This window comes from Homo sapiens, chromosome 5 (assembly GCF_000001405.40).
Source record: "Homo sapiens chromosome 5, GRCh38.p14 Primary Assembly".
Lineage (NCBI taxonomy): Eukaryota > Metazoa > Chordata > Mammalia > Primates > Hominidae > Homo > Homo sapiens.
In genome coordinates, this window is record NC_000005.10 from 55,417,677 (window position 1) to 55,434,633 (window position 16,957).

General features: G+C 40.7%; 2 protein-coding genes across 5 annotated transcripts in view, besides 1 other annotated feature; one reads left to right on the forward strand and one right to left on the reverse strand.

The window, feature by feature from the left end:
* The window catches only part of MTREX (Mtr4 exosome RNA helicase), a 117,591-nt gene extending 109,688 nt beyond the window's left edge, over positions 1-7,903 (forward strand). Inside the window, exons 26-27 of the mRNA NM_015360.5 lie at positions 5,202-5,306; positions 7,044-7,903. Of these exons, the coding sequence (NP_056175.3) occupies positions 5,202-5,306; positions 7,044-7,096 (158 nt within the window). The 3' untranslated portion in view covers positions 7,097-7,903. The remainder of the gene's footprint in view (positions 1-5,201; positions 5,307-7,043) is intronic.
* Positions 3,560-3,679: a silencer, noted in NCBI's record as "silent region_16015". NCBI's record gives its function as "represses an Ori minimal core promoter by ATAC-STARR-seq in GM12878 lymphoblastoid cells {active_cell/tissue: GM12878}" and the evidence as "EXISTENCE:reporter gene assay evidence [ECO:0000049][PMID:35858748]".
* PLPP1 (phospholipid phosphatase 1) overlaps positions 7,178-16,957 on the reverse strand; it is a 110,111-nt gene continuing 100,331 nt past the window's right edge. For all 4 annotated transcript variants that reach the window (NR_103485.2, XM_006714724.4, NM_003711.4 and 1 more), the window contains 2 exons: positions 8,187-8,363; positions 7,178-7,658 (listed from right to left, as the gene is read on the reverse strand). Coding sequence is in view for 3 of the 4 variants with exons in the window: in XM_006714724.4 (XP_006714787.1) it covers positions 7,530-7,658; positions 8,187-8,363 (306 nt within the window). In the remaining variant the exon portion in view is untranslated. The remainder of the gene's footprint in view (positions 7,659-8,186; positions 8,364-16,957) is intronic.

A 16,957-nucleotide genomic window follows, 5' to 3' on the forward strand; every position in this document is an offset into this window, starting at 1 on the left:
ATGACAATTGTGTTTCAGCAGCACTAGGGCGATCACATAGAGCACCACCAGTCTTCAGTCTGACATCTTTTTGGAACATAAGGATGAAACTAGTAACTGTTCAATGCCTAATAATAAGACTTGATAATACAATACTCATATTTGTATAATATCTGCTTCTCTGAAAAGTCAGAACACAATGACATAAAACAATAGTGGTACATGGCAGAGAGTAGCTTTTTTTTATTTTTTTATTTTTATTTTTATTTTTTATTTTTTTTAGAAAAGTAAAAAGCAGGCCAGGCACGGTGGCTTACGCCGGTAATCCCAACACTTTGGGAGGCCGAGGCGGGCGGATCAGGAGGTCAGGAAATCGAGACCATCCTGGCTAACACGGTGAAACCCCGTCTCTACAAAAAATACAAAAAATTAGCTGGGTGTGGTGGCAGGAGCCTGTAGTCCCAGCTACTCGGGAGGCTGAGGCAGGAGAATGGCGTGAACCTGGGAGGCAGAGCTTGCAGTGAGCTGAGATTGTGCCACTGCACTCCAGCCTGGGTGACAGAGCGAGACACCATCTCAAAAAAAAAAAAAGAAAAAAAGAAAAGTAAAAAGCAAGGGCAGTAGACCTGGCCTGTCAGATGAGTATATTTTTTTTTAAATCTAGGAATTCATATAAAATTGTCTTTATGGATTATTTTTTCTGTTCTTTCTACCTAAGTAGAAGTTATCACAGTATGGAAGATAAATCCTAAACTGCCAAATTGAAGATGGTTTGTAGCTCATACTAGATGCCACCTATGAGTTGACTTTTTCCACAGCATACCAGCATTCCTGAAGTCTGTTCTGTCCTCTTTCAGTTACTCAGGGGCTATTTCTACATCACAGTTTGCTTGAAATTTCAGTTTGAAAATTTGAGAAATCCAGTTTTTTAGCTCTAACTTGAAATTAGATCTAACATCTGCATAATTTTTATGTTTTTCTTGTGTGTGAGCCAGTAGATGAGCTTAAACCTTTCTAAAAATTGGGATATACTATGTATTCGCCCTTAAAACTATTTTTTGATTTAAGTAGCAAAAAATGAGAACCTTCATTTTCTTAGGATAGTATTTCTCTCTTTTGTTTTTACAGTGTTACATAGTGCTTCCATTTCAAGAATAGCCATTCCTTCCTCATCTCGTTATTGTATGTGGTTGTTTTTTATTTTTTGCAACAGGGTCTGGCTCTGTCACCCAGGCTGGAGTGCAGTGGCGTGATCTTGGCTCACTGCACCCTCCATCTCCCGGGCTTAAGTGATCCTTCCACCTCAGCCTCCAGAGTAGCTGGGACCACAAGCATGTACCACCATGCCCAGCTAATTTTTGTTAATTTTTGTAGAGATATGATTTTACCATGAAGCCTAGGCTGGTCTCAAACTCCTGGGCTCAAGTGATCCACCTGCTTCAGCCTCCCAAGGTGTTGAGATTACAGGCATGAGCCACTGCAGCTGGCCTACACATGTTTTATGATTGGAAAAATACTGTAATCAAAGCTGTAGCACACAGTACAGTGTGTCTGTTTTTACAGGCAGACAATAATTGCATTGGAACTTTCTAATGTGCTGTGTGCAAACCATATTTGTTCCTAATAAGATTCTTAATTTTCTTTTCATATGAAAATAAAAGTGTCTGGTCATTTCATATCCTGAGCCTCAGAAGTAGTTTTAAGTATTCTTCAAACATTAACTGAGGCTAGTTAACACTGTAATGATTAAAACCATGTGTTTGGGGGATGTGTAATGCAAAAGAAAAGTTCATATTGTGATTCAGTTGAGAAATTTTGAAGACTAAGTATTTATTCTGTTATCACCCTGGAAAAAAAATGACAGAATTTAGCTGTTTTTTATTTCCATTAAACTAAATTTGAATGACAGTTTAAACAAACTATTTGTATGGGCTGATGCCTAGGGTTTTAGTCAAGTAATCCAGAGGCTGTTACTATTTATTTCTGACTCTACATAAACAATATTGTACTCTTAACTATGAAGGATGACAAAGGATTTGCTTTCCACTGAGCAAGTGTCATTAGGAAAGCTTCTATGATGAATTATCTCTTGAAACTATTTACTGTACCTCTGCCTGCCATATGCTTTTTATTTTTTTTCAGTCCTGCTCCCTCTGTATGCCACATGTTTTGAAAGCAAATACTGTGAATTGCATTCCTCAACTCTCCCCACCACACACATTCTCTCACATGCCTTTCAAGTAGCAGTTTAACCCTTTCTTAGCATCATCAGTGTCATGAGTGGTTTTCCAGTGGATTTGTCTTTTAAAAGTATTCTTGCTGATAATAATAGAGTAACAATTTATTAGTAATTGTTTCTGTCTTTACATTTTGGCACAGTTTTAGTACCTGATACTTACTCGTTTAATGAATAATTCTGAGACCCTAGTGGGAATCAGGCACCATGCTAGTTACAGTGTGAGCAATAGTCTCTGCTCTCAAGAAAGGGTTCAGCCTAAGCTGGGGTTTAGCGGCAAGTAGTTGCAAGATACATGTGTGATTCTAACCTGAGGCCAGGCTGGATAGGAGTATTAAATTCGGGTCAGAGCATGAACTGTAGGAAACTGCTTTAGGGTATGCCAGAAAGCTGAAGGCAGAAGTTCTGTTCGGGAAAATCTGCTGCTTTCTCTCCTTAATGAGAATGATGCTGTTTTGTTCATCAACCGGGTAAGGCTGATGTTTATTAAAATGCTCTTAAATAAAAGCATATAGTCCCAAGTGTCCATCGATAGATGAATAAATTGTGGTATATATTAGGTTGGTGCCAAAGTAATTGTGGTTTTTGCCATTTTTAATGGCAAGGTGTTCCATTGTAATAAAGATTAAATGGAACAGCTTTCAGTTAGAAAAGACATACTGACTCATGCTACAATATGGACAAACCTTAAACACATTAAGTTGAAAGAAGGCAGACACAAAGGCCACATAGTGTATAATTTCACTTATATGAAATGTCCAGAGTAAGCAGATTCATAGAGACAAAGCATAGACGTGGTTGCCATGGGCTGGAGGGACAGGAAGACATGTAACTGCTTAATGGGAACAAGGTTTTTTGGGGGTGGTAAAAATGCTCTAAAATTAGATAATGATGATGGTTACACAAGTCTGAATATACTAAAAACCACTCAGTTGTACACTTATTTAAAATAATTTATGGTGTGTGAATTCTGTCTCCATGTGAGTTCTTCCAGAATGTAGTAAACCTGAATATAAAAAAGGGCAGTAACTGACTTGTATACTTTAACATGGTTAAAAAGGTGGATTTTATGTTTTATATTTTACCACTATTTGAAAAATTTTTTAAAGACAATAACTAGAAAGAATTGGATTTCTCTTTCTACTCTGGCAGGACCAAAAAAAAAATTTTGTAACAAACCAGTAGGTTAATGTGGTTTTGTTTTGTTTCGGTTTTGGTCAGCTTCATTTAGCCTATGATGGGTCATGGCTTTGAAACTTTTGTCTAGCACTTAGTCAGGCTGATGAGGCAGGATGACTTATAAAGGTGGGTGTAAGAAGAGCCCTTGGATTACAGAGAACTGTAGTAGGTAGGAGAGATGCTAGACAATTCACTACTTAATCGTCAGTCTTCATTAATCCCTGGGGGGAGTAGCCTCTATGTTTCAGGCAGCTCTGGACAGTTAGTGTTTGTGCACATACCCAGTGATTTGTTGATGAGACTCTGTGGGCAACAACCACAGTCATTGTATATGCAACCTTGTGCCTACTGGCCTAATTTGCTTGTTACCTGAAACTGTGTCGAAACTAAAGTTTCCAGAAATTGAGTCGAAATGTTTACAAAATGTGACATGACAGTGCTCTCTGGCCTGAATGTGCATTTACTTGCCTTAGTTTATTCTTTATCTTAGTAATTTACTTCGTATGGTTTGGTCTCTGATAACTTTCACAGATTCTGGTTAACACGAGTTACTAAAATTTGTGAAATAATAATATCACATTGTGTTTCTTGGTACACATTTGAAGTCAGTCAAAACAATGTTTGAGAATGTGTCTGGCTCTTTAATGCCCTGTGCAGCAGAGGACTTTGTAAAGGATTTCATTTCAATCCTAAATGACCTGTGAGAATCTGGTCTCAGGTAAAAATCTAGTTACATTTTGAGCCACTACCTAATTTAATTATCTTTGGATATACTTGTTTGCATAAACATTTAATATCTGATTGCATAGGTAATATGACATTACCCTCTCTATCCCAATTCCTACCCTCTCTCTTGACACCCAGAAGTTTCTGCAGTTGGATTTCCTGTTTCATTGCAAGGCAGTATTGGAGCCTGCATTCCTAGCAGCTGAGAATAGAAATAACAAATAATTATTATTAATTTAATAATTGTTAATAGTGTAAATAGTTCATTGTTCCTACAGACTGCATTTTGAGAACTGGTATTCCTAATGTATTTCATATATTAAAAATGAAGTCAAGCGTTTTAGATTTAGGCAGGTAGCACTTAGAGAAAGGATCTCACAATCTCTGCTCCTCTTTGCACAAGTCTAGCAAAAGTGAAACTATGTTTATAGCTTCAGCTTTGATACAAACACTTTTCTCAAACAGATTCTAGACCCATGGGAAAAGGCTTCTTTCCTTGTGCTCCTTGAGAACACTGTGTAAAGAACGTACTAATGAAAGAATCTAAGGTCAAGAAGAATGAATGCACCTTTAAAATGACAAGTTTTATCTTGTTACTCTCCTGCTAAAAACAGTCTGTTGCATTCTATGAGATGGTATGGATGGTGTCCAGATGCCTCACTAGGCCACACTCAGGGTCCTTGAATAGCTGCAGTTTGCCAGGCTTTTCTGCATTGTCGTGGTGGTCCTTCCCTTGTTGCTGCTGCCTGAGAGATACTGCCTGGTTCTTACAGACACAGATTATGTCATCTTTGCAGCCTTCACCCAAAGTTGCTCCCTCCTTCTAGGGCATTTTGTTTTCCTACTTAATACCAAGTGTCAGCATGTTAGTAATAAACAGGTGTCTCTACCATTAGTCAAAGGTGGGAGTTAAGCCTTTCATCTTTGTAGCTTTCTCCAGTACCTAACCATGATTTACTTCATGGGAAGTCCCTCAAAGTACTATTAATTATCGTGTGTTCTCCTGCCTTGCCTCTTAACAAAAATTCTGCTGTTCCTGATTATTTCCATTTTACCAGTGTTTTGTTCCTTTTCTATCCAGGCAGCATAATTCGTTGTATGAGGCGCCTGGAAGAATTGCTTCGACAAATGTGTCAAGCAGCAAAAGCCATTGGAAACACTGAGCTGGAAAATAAATTTGCAGAAGGTCAGTATCAAATGGATAAGCTGTTTCTAATTTAGACAAATTTGGTGAAGCAAATCTTGAGCCCTGGACCACAACCTAGGAGGACGTTTTGAGATGTTCTTCACTGCATTGTCATGGAGAGCTATCTACTAGTGTTTCTATAAAATTTAGTGTGTTGGGGGAAAAGTTGAGATTTTATATATACATGCATTTACGTATATTAATTGTACGCTAACTACATGCCAGGCATTGTTTTAAGCACTAGGGGATATAGTGAACAAAAAGACACCCCTGCCTTCATGGAGTTTACATTCTAGTGTGGGGAGATAGACAATAAGTCAACAATTAAATTTATCAGATGGTGATAAGTCTGTAAGATAAAAACAAAGCAGAAAAGACAATAGAATTGGCAGATGGATATGATGGTCTAGGGCCTCCACAGGGAAGGTGGCAGTTAAGGCCTTTGGTGTATGCTTGATGTACGTGAACACCAGCAAGAGGCCAGTGTGGCTGGAGCAGAATGGGCAGTGAGTAGAGGAGTAGGGGTTGAAGTGAGAAAGGAAATGATTCCATAGTTCCCAGCCCCAGGCTTCTCAACTCTGCAGTGACTGGAGGTGTGGAGTTTGGGAGTGACCTGCCCCAACTTGGACTTTACAAGGTAATTGTTGCTCTTACATTCAGGGCAAGTCTGTAGAGTAGCACAGTAGAAGTGGGGAGAACAGATCAAGAAAGGATGGCTAAACCAAGGTGGTAGTAATGGAGTGGTGGTGGGGGGGCAAGGGGCATAAGCTTCAGTCCTGTCTACTGACTCTTGACCAAGAAAAAGGACTAAGTTAATCAAAGAATATAACCACATTGTTGCTGAGTCAGTCAATGCTAGTGATTTCTGCAAACAACTTAGTGTCCTAAGAAGAGGTTTGCAAAAACTGGCTGATATTTCCACAGTTGATAAATGTAGGCCTGTTTAATGACTCAGAATTTAAGTGTAGGTGTCAAAGTTTTAAAAATAATTTGTAATCAAAATTTGTATTTGTCCTTCCTTGGCCTAGAAAGAATTTCACATGGGAACTGAAAAAAAAGTGTCTTCTGATATAGGTTGAAAATCCAAGTCTTTGGATTTTACATTTCTTTAGACAGTTTAGTCCTTCCCTATAATTTTTTTTATTTTTATTTTTATTTATTTATTTAGTGTGTGGAGACAGAGTTTCGCTCTTGTTGCCCCAGGCTGGAGTGCAATGGCGCAATCTCGGCTCACTGCAACCTCCACATCCACCTCCCAGGTTCAAGCGATTCTCCTGCCTCAGCCTCCTGAGTAGCTGAACTACAGGCATGCGCCACCACGCCCGGCTGATTTTGTATTTCTAGTAGAGACGGGGTTTCTCCATGTTGGTCGGGCTGCTCTTGAACTCCTGACCTCAGGTGATCCGCTCGCCTTGGCCTCCCAGAGTGCTGGGATTACAGGCATGAGCTACTGCGCCCGACCTAGCATTTATCTTTTTAAACAGTTCTAGACACCTCTTTCCTGGCCAGCCCCCATGGAGTATTTCAGAGTCAAAAGAACAGGGGTCTGGCTTGTATGTTTTCCACCTCACAGAGGTGGCTGCAAATTCCTCTAGGTGTTCAGCAAGGTGTTTGACTTTCTAGGCTGCTCGCTTACCAGTTGAATCAGGGTTGGTATACTGGCTTTAAAATTTCGGTAGAGGCAAGTTAGGTGTTTTGTGGTCTTGAAAGTTTAAACCTTACTTTCTTTTCTCTTAGGAATCACCAAAATCAAGAGAGATATTGTGTTTGCTGCCAGCCTCTACTTGTAGAGTCAGCTAAAGGAATGTGAGATTTTAAATTATTGACCACCTGTTTGATTACAGTTGACTACAAATGCCTGCAAGTGTGGATTTGGTTCTCCCATACATTTTAATATGTATTATATTTAAATCAAACATCATTCATAGAAAGCATATTACATACATGTTTATACATAAGCATTACATTTTTTTAATAAAAATGTATACAGGTGGGGCACTGTTTTGGTGGAAGGCTTGGAGTTTTTTTAATGAGTTTAGAGCTATTAGATAACCACTGAGTTAAAGGTAACTATGTACACACAAAGTGTGCATCCAAGAGGCATAGCAGCAGCAGAAGTCTTTAAAGGCTTGTACACCAGGAAGAAAGATGCATCCTCTTGCCTTGTGGCAATCATTTTCCTTTAGAAAACAGGCCAGCTTCACCTGGGCACCCTGCTGCCTTTCAAGGCTGGTGATTGCTCGGATAGTGATTCCCAGTTGTTGGTGTTTCATGCAGAGTTGTATGAGAGTCCTCCTCTTTTCTTTCTTTAAAAGAAGTTCTTTCTTTGAAGAAATCCGATACATATACAGCCTACAGTGCAAAATATTTAATGGTATAATTTAGATCAAGTTAAAAACTACATACAAAGTTGTGATCAACAGCATCCTAAGATAAATATAAACAAAAGGATATACTTTGAGGTGTACAGATTAAGCATATAAAAAATTAGAGACTAACTGGGATTTTTTAAAGATTATTCCAAATTAAGAGTTGCTTTGTTATGCCTTCAGCAAATAGCTTCATTTTGCCAATACTGAATAAAAGAGTTATTTCTACATGTGAATTAGTTTTTTCAAGTCATAATCCCCTAAAAAAACTATTTCTAGCCAGAGCCTTTCACAATAAAAATACTAAGATTTTACAAAACTACTAAGTTTTAGAAAGAGCAACCTAGTTTTTAACCTGGTGTGTATCCTGAAGTGACTTTTAATAACATTGAGATTCTTGCCCACTGCATAGTCTTCTCCTCAGCTGGGGATTTTTTGGATTTTTTTTTTCTATTTACTTATATAAATGTTTAGCAATATCAAGATGTAGGCTGTTGACCTGTATACTTACAACTAATATTGCAACCAGAGCTCCCTGAATGAGTCCAGTCAACACATCGCTCCAGTGGTGTTTATAATCAGAAACTCGAGAAAGGCCCACATAAATGGATACGGCAACAAGACCAAATTGCAGTGTGGGGCGTAAGAGTCTTGCCCAGTCTCCCTTCATCCTGGCTTGAAGATAAAGCTAAAAGAAAAGAATAAAGAAAAAAATAGTTTATTTAACATAACGCAAAACTTTTATATTAAGGAAGGGTTGGCATTTGAAATGATTATCAAAGTATTATTATATAGGGAACAGGACTTCTAGGCAAACATTCACGTACGCATTATTACCTAAATGTTAATCCTTTAAAGAAACAAAACTATTGCCCTACTAACTTGTTCACAAGAATCTATTGCCAGTCTAGCTATACCACCCTTCAAACTGTATACAAACAGGTGTTTCCTTGTTTATGGCTTTCTAAACAGGATTTCAGGGACAGTTCCTCCCCTTGCAATTTGGGTTATAATTCTCATAGTCAAGACCAGTGCTGCCATTGGTTTTTTTATTGTTTTCCTTAAAGAAATGGGGCGTTGCTCTGTTGCCCAGACTGGAGTGCAGTGGTGGTGTAGTCATACTCACTGCAGCCTCAAACTCCTGGGCTCAAGCAATCTTTCCATGTCAGTTTCCCAAGTAGCTGGGACTATAGGTACATGTCACTGAGCCCAGCTAATTGGTTTTTTTTTTTTTTTATAGAGATGGGGGTCTCACTGTGTTGCCCAGGCTGGTCTCAAACTCCTCGTCTCAAGTAACCCGCCTGCATTGGCCTCCCAAAGTGCTGGGATTACAGACATGCGCCACCATGCCTGACCCAGTATCGTGGTTAGTTCTGAGTCTTGGGATAAAGTGCTAGCATTCTGGGCACAGGTTGCCATTGCTCTGGGCCTATCTAGGGACTATTTCATTAATTAACCAAAGAGAGCTCTTCTACCCTCAAATTGTTTAACAAGGCAACTGAGACTAAATAATCTGTATTTGCAAGTAATATAGGTTGTAGTTTAGTTATGATCCAGCCAAGAAGTGTATTCTTTCAACAGTACTTGTATCCCCTTTAAGTTAAGTTCTATGAGTTTTCTGTACACTAATCGGACCTAAGAAATTCCCCTTTCTCATGTCAGTCTGCCTTTGACTTTGGGTGCATCTCTGAAGGTTTTATGTAGAAATGATTCTTTTTAGGGAGTCTGCTCTCATTAAAAAAAAAAAAAAAAAGAAAACTACCTAATTTCTATCCAATAACAATATAATTTATAACATTCCCTTTAAAATTCTGTTCAATAATATATGACTCGTAGACTAAATTAAATGCAGTCCTTAGAAAACAATATACATAGCTCTCCCCATGGACACTGCCTATTTAAAATAGATGACACAAATCCATTCCCAGCTCTCTGGGCACTGCCATGGGTGTTCAGTCACCAAAAGCTGGCAAAGACCCAGGGCTTATCTAATTTTATCAAGTACTTAGTATAAACCATCTAGTTCTAAAAGAGCACACCAGCTGTTTAACTGAGTCTGACTCATCAGCAAGTTTAAGAACCACTGGCTTTCTGCAGAATCCTTATTTTTGTTTGTTGTTCAAGCTGTGAAAAAAGTAAGTAGTCAAATCAAAAATAGCAACTCTAGAATGGACTTAAGCTAGTCCCATGCTACTTCCAACCTGAAGGAAACTCAGAGCTAGGACTCCAAGGTCTTTCCTCTTTTAAGATTCTAAAATCCCTGTAGCAATATTTCCATTCTAAACAACCCTGACTTTCACTGTAGATAGCCTGCAAACTCATATTGAATATTATTTTCTCCAGATTTCTTCCCCAACATGCCAGTGAAAAGAATTAACATTTACTTAACATTATCAATAATCAACTAAGCTCCAACACTTTTTTGGGGGGGGGGATGTGGGAGGGGGAAGCAGGGAACAGTTTTCCTCTTGTTGCCCAGGCTGGAGTGCAGTGGTGCGATCTCGGCTCACTGCAACCTCCGCCTCCCGGGTTCAAGCAATCCTCCTGCCTCAGCCTCCCGAGTAGCTGGGATTACAGGCACTCACCACCACTCCCAGGTAATTGTCTGTATTTTTAGTAGGGACGATGTTTCACTGTGTTGGCCAGGCTGGTCTCAAACTCCTGACCTCAGGTGATCCACCCACCTCAGCCTCCCAAAGTGCTGGGATTACAGGCATGAGCCACCACACCCAGCTCGCTCCAACACTTCTAAGTGAAGTCTTTCCCCCTATAAATAGCTGTTTTTCTCCTTACACATCTACCCAAGAATAGAGGTTTCCCCCATCAGTGAAACTCTGACCATGGACCCAGAAATTATTTCACCGTGAGAATTCTGGGATGCCCCAGTTGTGGTTCTGTACCTAACCTTGTGCTCTAGGCTTTGGCTTCTCTAGTGACAAACAGGCATGGCCTGAGTGTGCTTCCTATGTGCCCATACTGCGTTTCCCTGGGTCAGGGTACTCGGTGTAGCTCTGTGAAGACTTCCATTTCTGTAGAGCTCAAGAAAGTGGACACCCTGAATTTCTCAGACCTTGGGTAAACTTGAATTCCACAGCTGACATGCCCAGAAATCCGGACTGGCTTTTCCCCTCCCACCTTGCCAGCAAAAGTTTCCTATATGCGTAAGTTCAACAAAGCTAAAAAGTAGTGTCTTTCTGGTGGCTCTACTTTGATTCTGGGCAAAGCAAACACTTGACATGACTTCCTTTAAAAGAAAGTCTATTACTTTAGCTTTCCCTAAATGCCACTGAAAAGTTGAATGTCTGAAGCTTCTCAATACTGTTCTATTAGAACTAGATACAGGGGACACAGCTCATGCTTCAGCGCCAAGGCTAATAGTAAAAAGGCTGTATAGGTTCCTTCCTTTGCAGATTCCACTCTTCTCTCCTCCCCATACATGCCATTTGCCAACCTTATCTATTAAACCCATTCTAGGTAAGGCATTCAGTTAGTTACTTCTCTTTTAAGAGTAGGAACTTAACAGAGCTGTATGTCCAATACAGTGTGTGGTACCAGACAGGCTCGGCAGCAACATTATTACTTTTAATTCCCCTTCTAGGTGGAATTGCCCATTCACAGTCAGTCCTATTTGGACCACATAGCCCTGCCTTCTCCTTGCATACCCACATCTCCCTGCACTGACTAGATGACTTACACCAGGCATCACCCAGAGACCTGCTGGGCTGTATTTTGTCTCTGGAATTTATACCAGAAGTATGAAGGCGTTCTCTAATTTCAAAAGTAGTAGGAAGGATGCCTAATGGGTACATAATAGGTTATTTGCAAACTAAAGTTAGGAGGAAGCAAAAGCTATGGTCGAGGACAGCAAGCCATTTAGTAGAAAACAATGGAGTGGTTTCAAGATGGCTGACTAAAGTGCCCCTGGTACTTGCTTTCTGCTTGAAGAACCACCAAAACAGTAGTAGATAAATCACACTTTGAATAGATCACCTAAGAGAGAATGCTGGAATTTACCACCAAAATGACAGGAAACACCTGAGGCAAGTAAGGAGAGGGAAGCAAGGCAGGGTACCTGGCAGGGATTGGTTGGGGAGGCTCCCCCATGCTGGAGAAGGGTAAGTGACCCCCAACAGTCAGCATCCGCATTCCCATTGTGAAGTCCTGCAATCCCAGCCATGGAAGAAACCCTCAACCCACACAAACAGGGAACTTGGGGACTGCATGATGGCACTGCTCCAGAGAGGGAGCTCATCCCCCCGAGTCCTAAGCAGCTACAGCAGGGCACCATTTTGAGAGCCCCACCCCCAGCAGACTGCATCATTCCCTGAGGCCCAACAGCCCCTGCATATCCACATCTCTGAAGCCCCATTAAAGTCCCCCACCCACAGCTGGGTGCTGCCGCAGGGCCAAAGTATACAAGCTACTGGCAGTGAGCCAGCAGAGCCACTGTGCATTGTCAAGCCTGATTACAGGCTACCCTGTCCTGCAGATACCATCTGGGGCCAAAGTGCATGCTCCCAACCCACCTGTTTATGACTGCTGCCACACAAAAACACCCCTACCTACCACAGCCAAGCCCTATACACACCACTGAGGGACCTATCCAGCCCGGCTCCACCTACCCCTATGCCCAAGCACACCATCGGGCGTTGGAGGGTGCACCTATCATTAACACCTGAGCACTCCTCCCAGGGGCCTCAGGAAGGGACCATCCAACCTGCTGCTACCACCACCCACATGCACCACCTATGGGCCTGGGGACTAGCCACCCAGCCCATCACGGTCACCACCACCACCAGCGCAAACCACTTGGGAATCAGAGGGTTGTCCTGCCACTGCCCGCACCACACCTGCTGTCTATGGGCAGCAAGCCCGAGGACCTTCCCACCGTGCTACTGCTGGCATCCAAGCAAGCTTCCTGGAGACCCAAGAATCAGCCCACCTGGACCCTCTAACATCAGTGCCAGCATACACTGCCCCAGGGCCCAAGGACAGGCATGCTCAGCCTGCTGCTGCCACTCCTGGGGCTCGAGGATGGGCCCACCTAATGTTCCCATCTCCAGCAAATGCTTCATTGCAGCAATTAAAAACTGCAACTTAAGCCACTGAGGAAATCACACACAACTGATAACTTTACAGCCAAAGAAATCATACTGAGACTACACTATTGCATGCATCTGGAATCAAAGCCAAAGTGATCTACCCGACCAACACCACAGATATATCTTAAGGAAAATATCCTCCCCTATGAAGGCAAATTCAAAAAATTGGAAGAAGTGACTGTTAAACCAGATGTACAGATACCGAAATACGGATTCAAGAAACATGAAGAAGGAAATATGACACTTCCAAAGGAACACAGTAATTTTGTAGCAACAGATTCCAATGAAGAAATGTGTGAAATCTCAGAAAAAGAATTCAAAATAATGATTCAAAAAAAATTGAAAAAGCTCAGTGAGATACAAGAAAACAGCAATCAGAAAAATAATACAAAGAAATCAGAGAAACCATTTAGGATATGAATGAGAAAATTCCCAAAGACATAGATATAAAAAAAAATTCTGAAATTGATGAATTCATTGAATGAAATATAAAATAGATCCAACAGTTTCAACAATAGACTGCATCAAGCAGAACTTCAGAACTTCAAAAATTAGGTCTTTTGAACCCAGACAAAAATAAGAAAGAATGAGCAACAGCTCTGTGACATATGTGACACCATAAAGTCATCAAATATTCAAATTTTTGGTGTCTCAGAAAACAAAAATAAAAGGGATAGAAAACCTATTTGATTAAGTAATACCCGAAAACTTCCCAAGTCTAGCAAGAGATTTAGACACCCAGGCACAGGAAGCTTAGAAAACCCCAAATAGATGCAATTCAAAAATCCATGGCATATTACAGTCAAACTGTCAAAAGTCAGAGAATAAAACAGCAAGAGAAAAGTATCAAGTCACTTAGAAGGGGAACACCTATCAGACTAACAGTGAATTTCTCAGCAGCCACCTTACAGGCTAGGAGAAAATGGGATGATGTATTGAATGTGCTGAAAGAAAAATAAACCCCACCAGCCAAACTATTCTCAGATCGTGATGGAATAAAACTGGAAATGAATAATGAGGAACTTGGGAAATTGTACAAATGCATGAAAATTAAACAACATGCTCCTGAATGACCACTGGGTCAGGGAATAAATTAAAGGAATAAAAAAATTTCTTGAAACAAATGAAAATAGAGGCAGGACATACCGAAACCCAACAACAATGCTAGGAGGTAAATTAATACCAATAAACGCCCACATCAAAAATCTAGAAAGATTTCAAGTAAATAATCTAACAATGCAACTCAAGATAGTAGAAAAACAAGAACAAACCTAAAATTGGTGGAAGAAAAATACTAAAGAGCAGAGCAGAACTTAACAAAATGAACTCTTAAAAGTACAAAGGATCAACAAAAAAAGTTGCTTTTATGAAAGGATAAACGAAATCGACAAGAGAAAAAGAAAACCCAAATAAATTCAGAAATGAAAAAGACATTACAACTGATAACACAGAAATACAAAAGAACATCTATCTCCAATCATCTATTTGGAGATAGGGTCTCACTGTCACCCAGTCTGGGGCACAGTGGCGTGATCATCACTCACTGTAACCTCAGCCTCCTGGGTTCAAGTGATCCTCCCGTCTCAGTCTCCTGAGTAGCTGGGACTACAGAGCATGCCAGCATGAATAATTTTTCTTTTTCTTCTTTTTTTTTTTTTTTTTTTTTTTTTGGTAGAGACAGGGTCTTGCTATGTTGCCCAGGCTGGTCTTGAACTCATGGCTTCAAAGGATCTCCCACCTCGGCCTCTCAAAGTCCTGGGACTACCGGCATAAGCTACCATGCCTAGCTATCAGAGACTACTGCTAACTGCTGTGCATGAACTGGAAAGCCCAGAATAAATGGATCAATTCCTGGATACATACAATCTTCCAAGATTCAATCAGGAAGAAATAGAAAACCTGAACAGACCAATAATGAGTAATGAGATTCAATCAGTAATAAAATGTCTCCCATTTGGTCCCAATCCAGGACCAAATGGCTTTATTATTGAATTCTACCATACTTACAAAGAAGAACACCCATTCTCCTCTAACTATTCCAAAAAATTGAAGGGAATTCTCCCTAACTCATTTCATGAGGTGAGCATTACCCTGATACGAAAAACAGACAAGGATGCAACATAAGAAACCCATAAGCCAATATCTCTGATGAACACAGATGCAAAAATCCTCAACAAAATGCTAGCCAGCCTAATTCAACAACACATCAAAAAGATATGCCACGATCAAGTGTGATTTATCCCAGGGATGCAAGGAGGTTTCAACATAGGCAAATCAATAAATGTGACACATCACATTCAAATGTGATGAAAGTCTTTTAATAACATTCAACATCCCTTCATGATTTAAAAAAAAAAAAAAACCTGTCCACAGGAACTACGCATGAAGGGGACATAACTCAACATGATAAATGTTGCATGAACACACAACTAACGCCATCCTAAACAGGGAAAAGCTGAAAGCCTTTCCTCTAAGAACTGGAATAAGACAAGGATGCCTACTTTGACCCCTCCTATTCAGCATAGCAGTGAAGACCTAACCCTGAGCAATGAGGCAAGAGAAAGAAATAAACGGACCAGGTGTGGTGGCTCACACCTGTAATCCCAGCACTTCGGAAGGTCAAGGCGGGCAGATCGCCTGAGGTCAGGAGTTCACAACAGCCTGGGCAACATGGCGACACCCCATCTCTACAAAAAAAAAAAAAAAAAAAATACAAAAAATTATCCAGGATTGGTGGCATGTGCCTGTGGTCCCAGCTATTTGGGAAGCTGAGGTGGGAGCATCACTGCTTAAGCACAGGACAATGAGGTTGCAGTGAGCTGAGATCGTGTCACTGCACTCCAGCCTGGGTGACAGGGAGACCCAGTCTCGAAAAGAAAAAAAGAAAAGAAATAAAGGCATCCAAGTTGTATAACAGGAAATCAAACTGTCCGTCTTCGCAGACAATATGATCTTATATGTAGAAAAACCTAAAGACTCTACCAAAAAACTCTTAGATCTGATAAATTCAGTAAAGTTAAAGGATATAAAATCAACATACAAAAATCTCTAGCATTTTTTTTTTTTGACCGAGTCTCACTGTGTCACCCAGGCTGGAGTGCAGTGACACGATCTTGGCTCACTGCAACTTCCGCCTCCCAGGTTCAAGCAATTCTCCTGCCTCAGCCTCCCAAGTAGCTGGGAGTACAGGCGCGTGCCACCACACCTGGCTAATTTTTTCCATTTCCAACAGAGACGGTTTCACTGTGTTAGCCAGGATGGTCTCGATCTCCTGACCTCATGATTCTCCTGCCTCATCCTCCCAAAGTGCTGGGATTACAGGCGTGAGGCACCATGCCCCCAAATCTCTAGCATTTCTATACAACAATAGTGAATTAGCAGAGAAAGAAATCAAGAGGTCAGGCCTGGCATTGTGGCTTACGCCTGTAATCCCAGCACTTTGGGAGGCCGAGGCAGGTGGATCACTTGAGGTCAGGAGTTCAAAACCAGCCTGGCCAACATGGTGAAACCCTGTCTTTACTAAAAATACAAGAATTAGCCGGGTGCATGCCTGTAATCCTAGCTACTGGGAAGGCTGAGGAGGGAGAATCGCTTGAACTTAGGAGGTGGAGGTTGCAGTGAGCCGAGATCGCACCACTGCACTCCAGCCTGGGCGAGCGACTGAGTGAGACTCTGTCTCAAAAAAAAAAAAAAAAAGAGCAATCCCATTAACAATAGCTACAAAAAAAGAAGAAGAAGAAAAAAAGACACCTAGGGATCTATTTAACCAAGGAGGTAAAAGAACTCTACAAAGGAGACTGCAAAACACTGGTGAATGAAAATGCAGAAGACAGAAACAGGTGGAAAGATATCCCACGCATAAGGATCAGAAGAATTAATATGGTTAAAATGACCAGACTACCCAAAGCAATCTACAAATTTAATGCAACCCCTGTCAAAACACCAATGACATTCTGCACAGAAATAGAAAAAAAAAATCCTAAAATTCATACAGAATTAAAAAAGAGCCAGAAAGCCAAAGTAATCCTGAGCAAAATGAAAAAAAGCTTGGAGGCATCACACTACCTGACTTCATATTACAAGGCTATAATAACCAAAACAGCACAGTATTGGTATAAAAACAGACTCGTCAGCAACCAATGAAACAGAATAGATACCAGAAATAAGTCCACGTATTTAC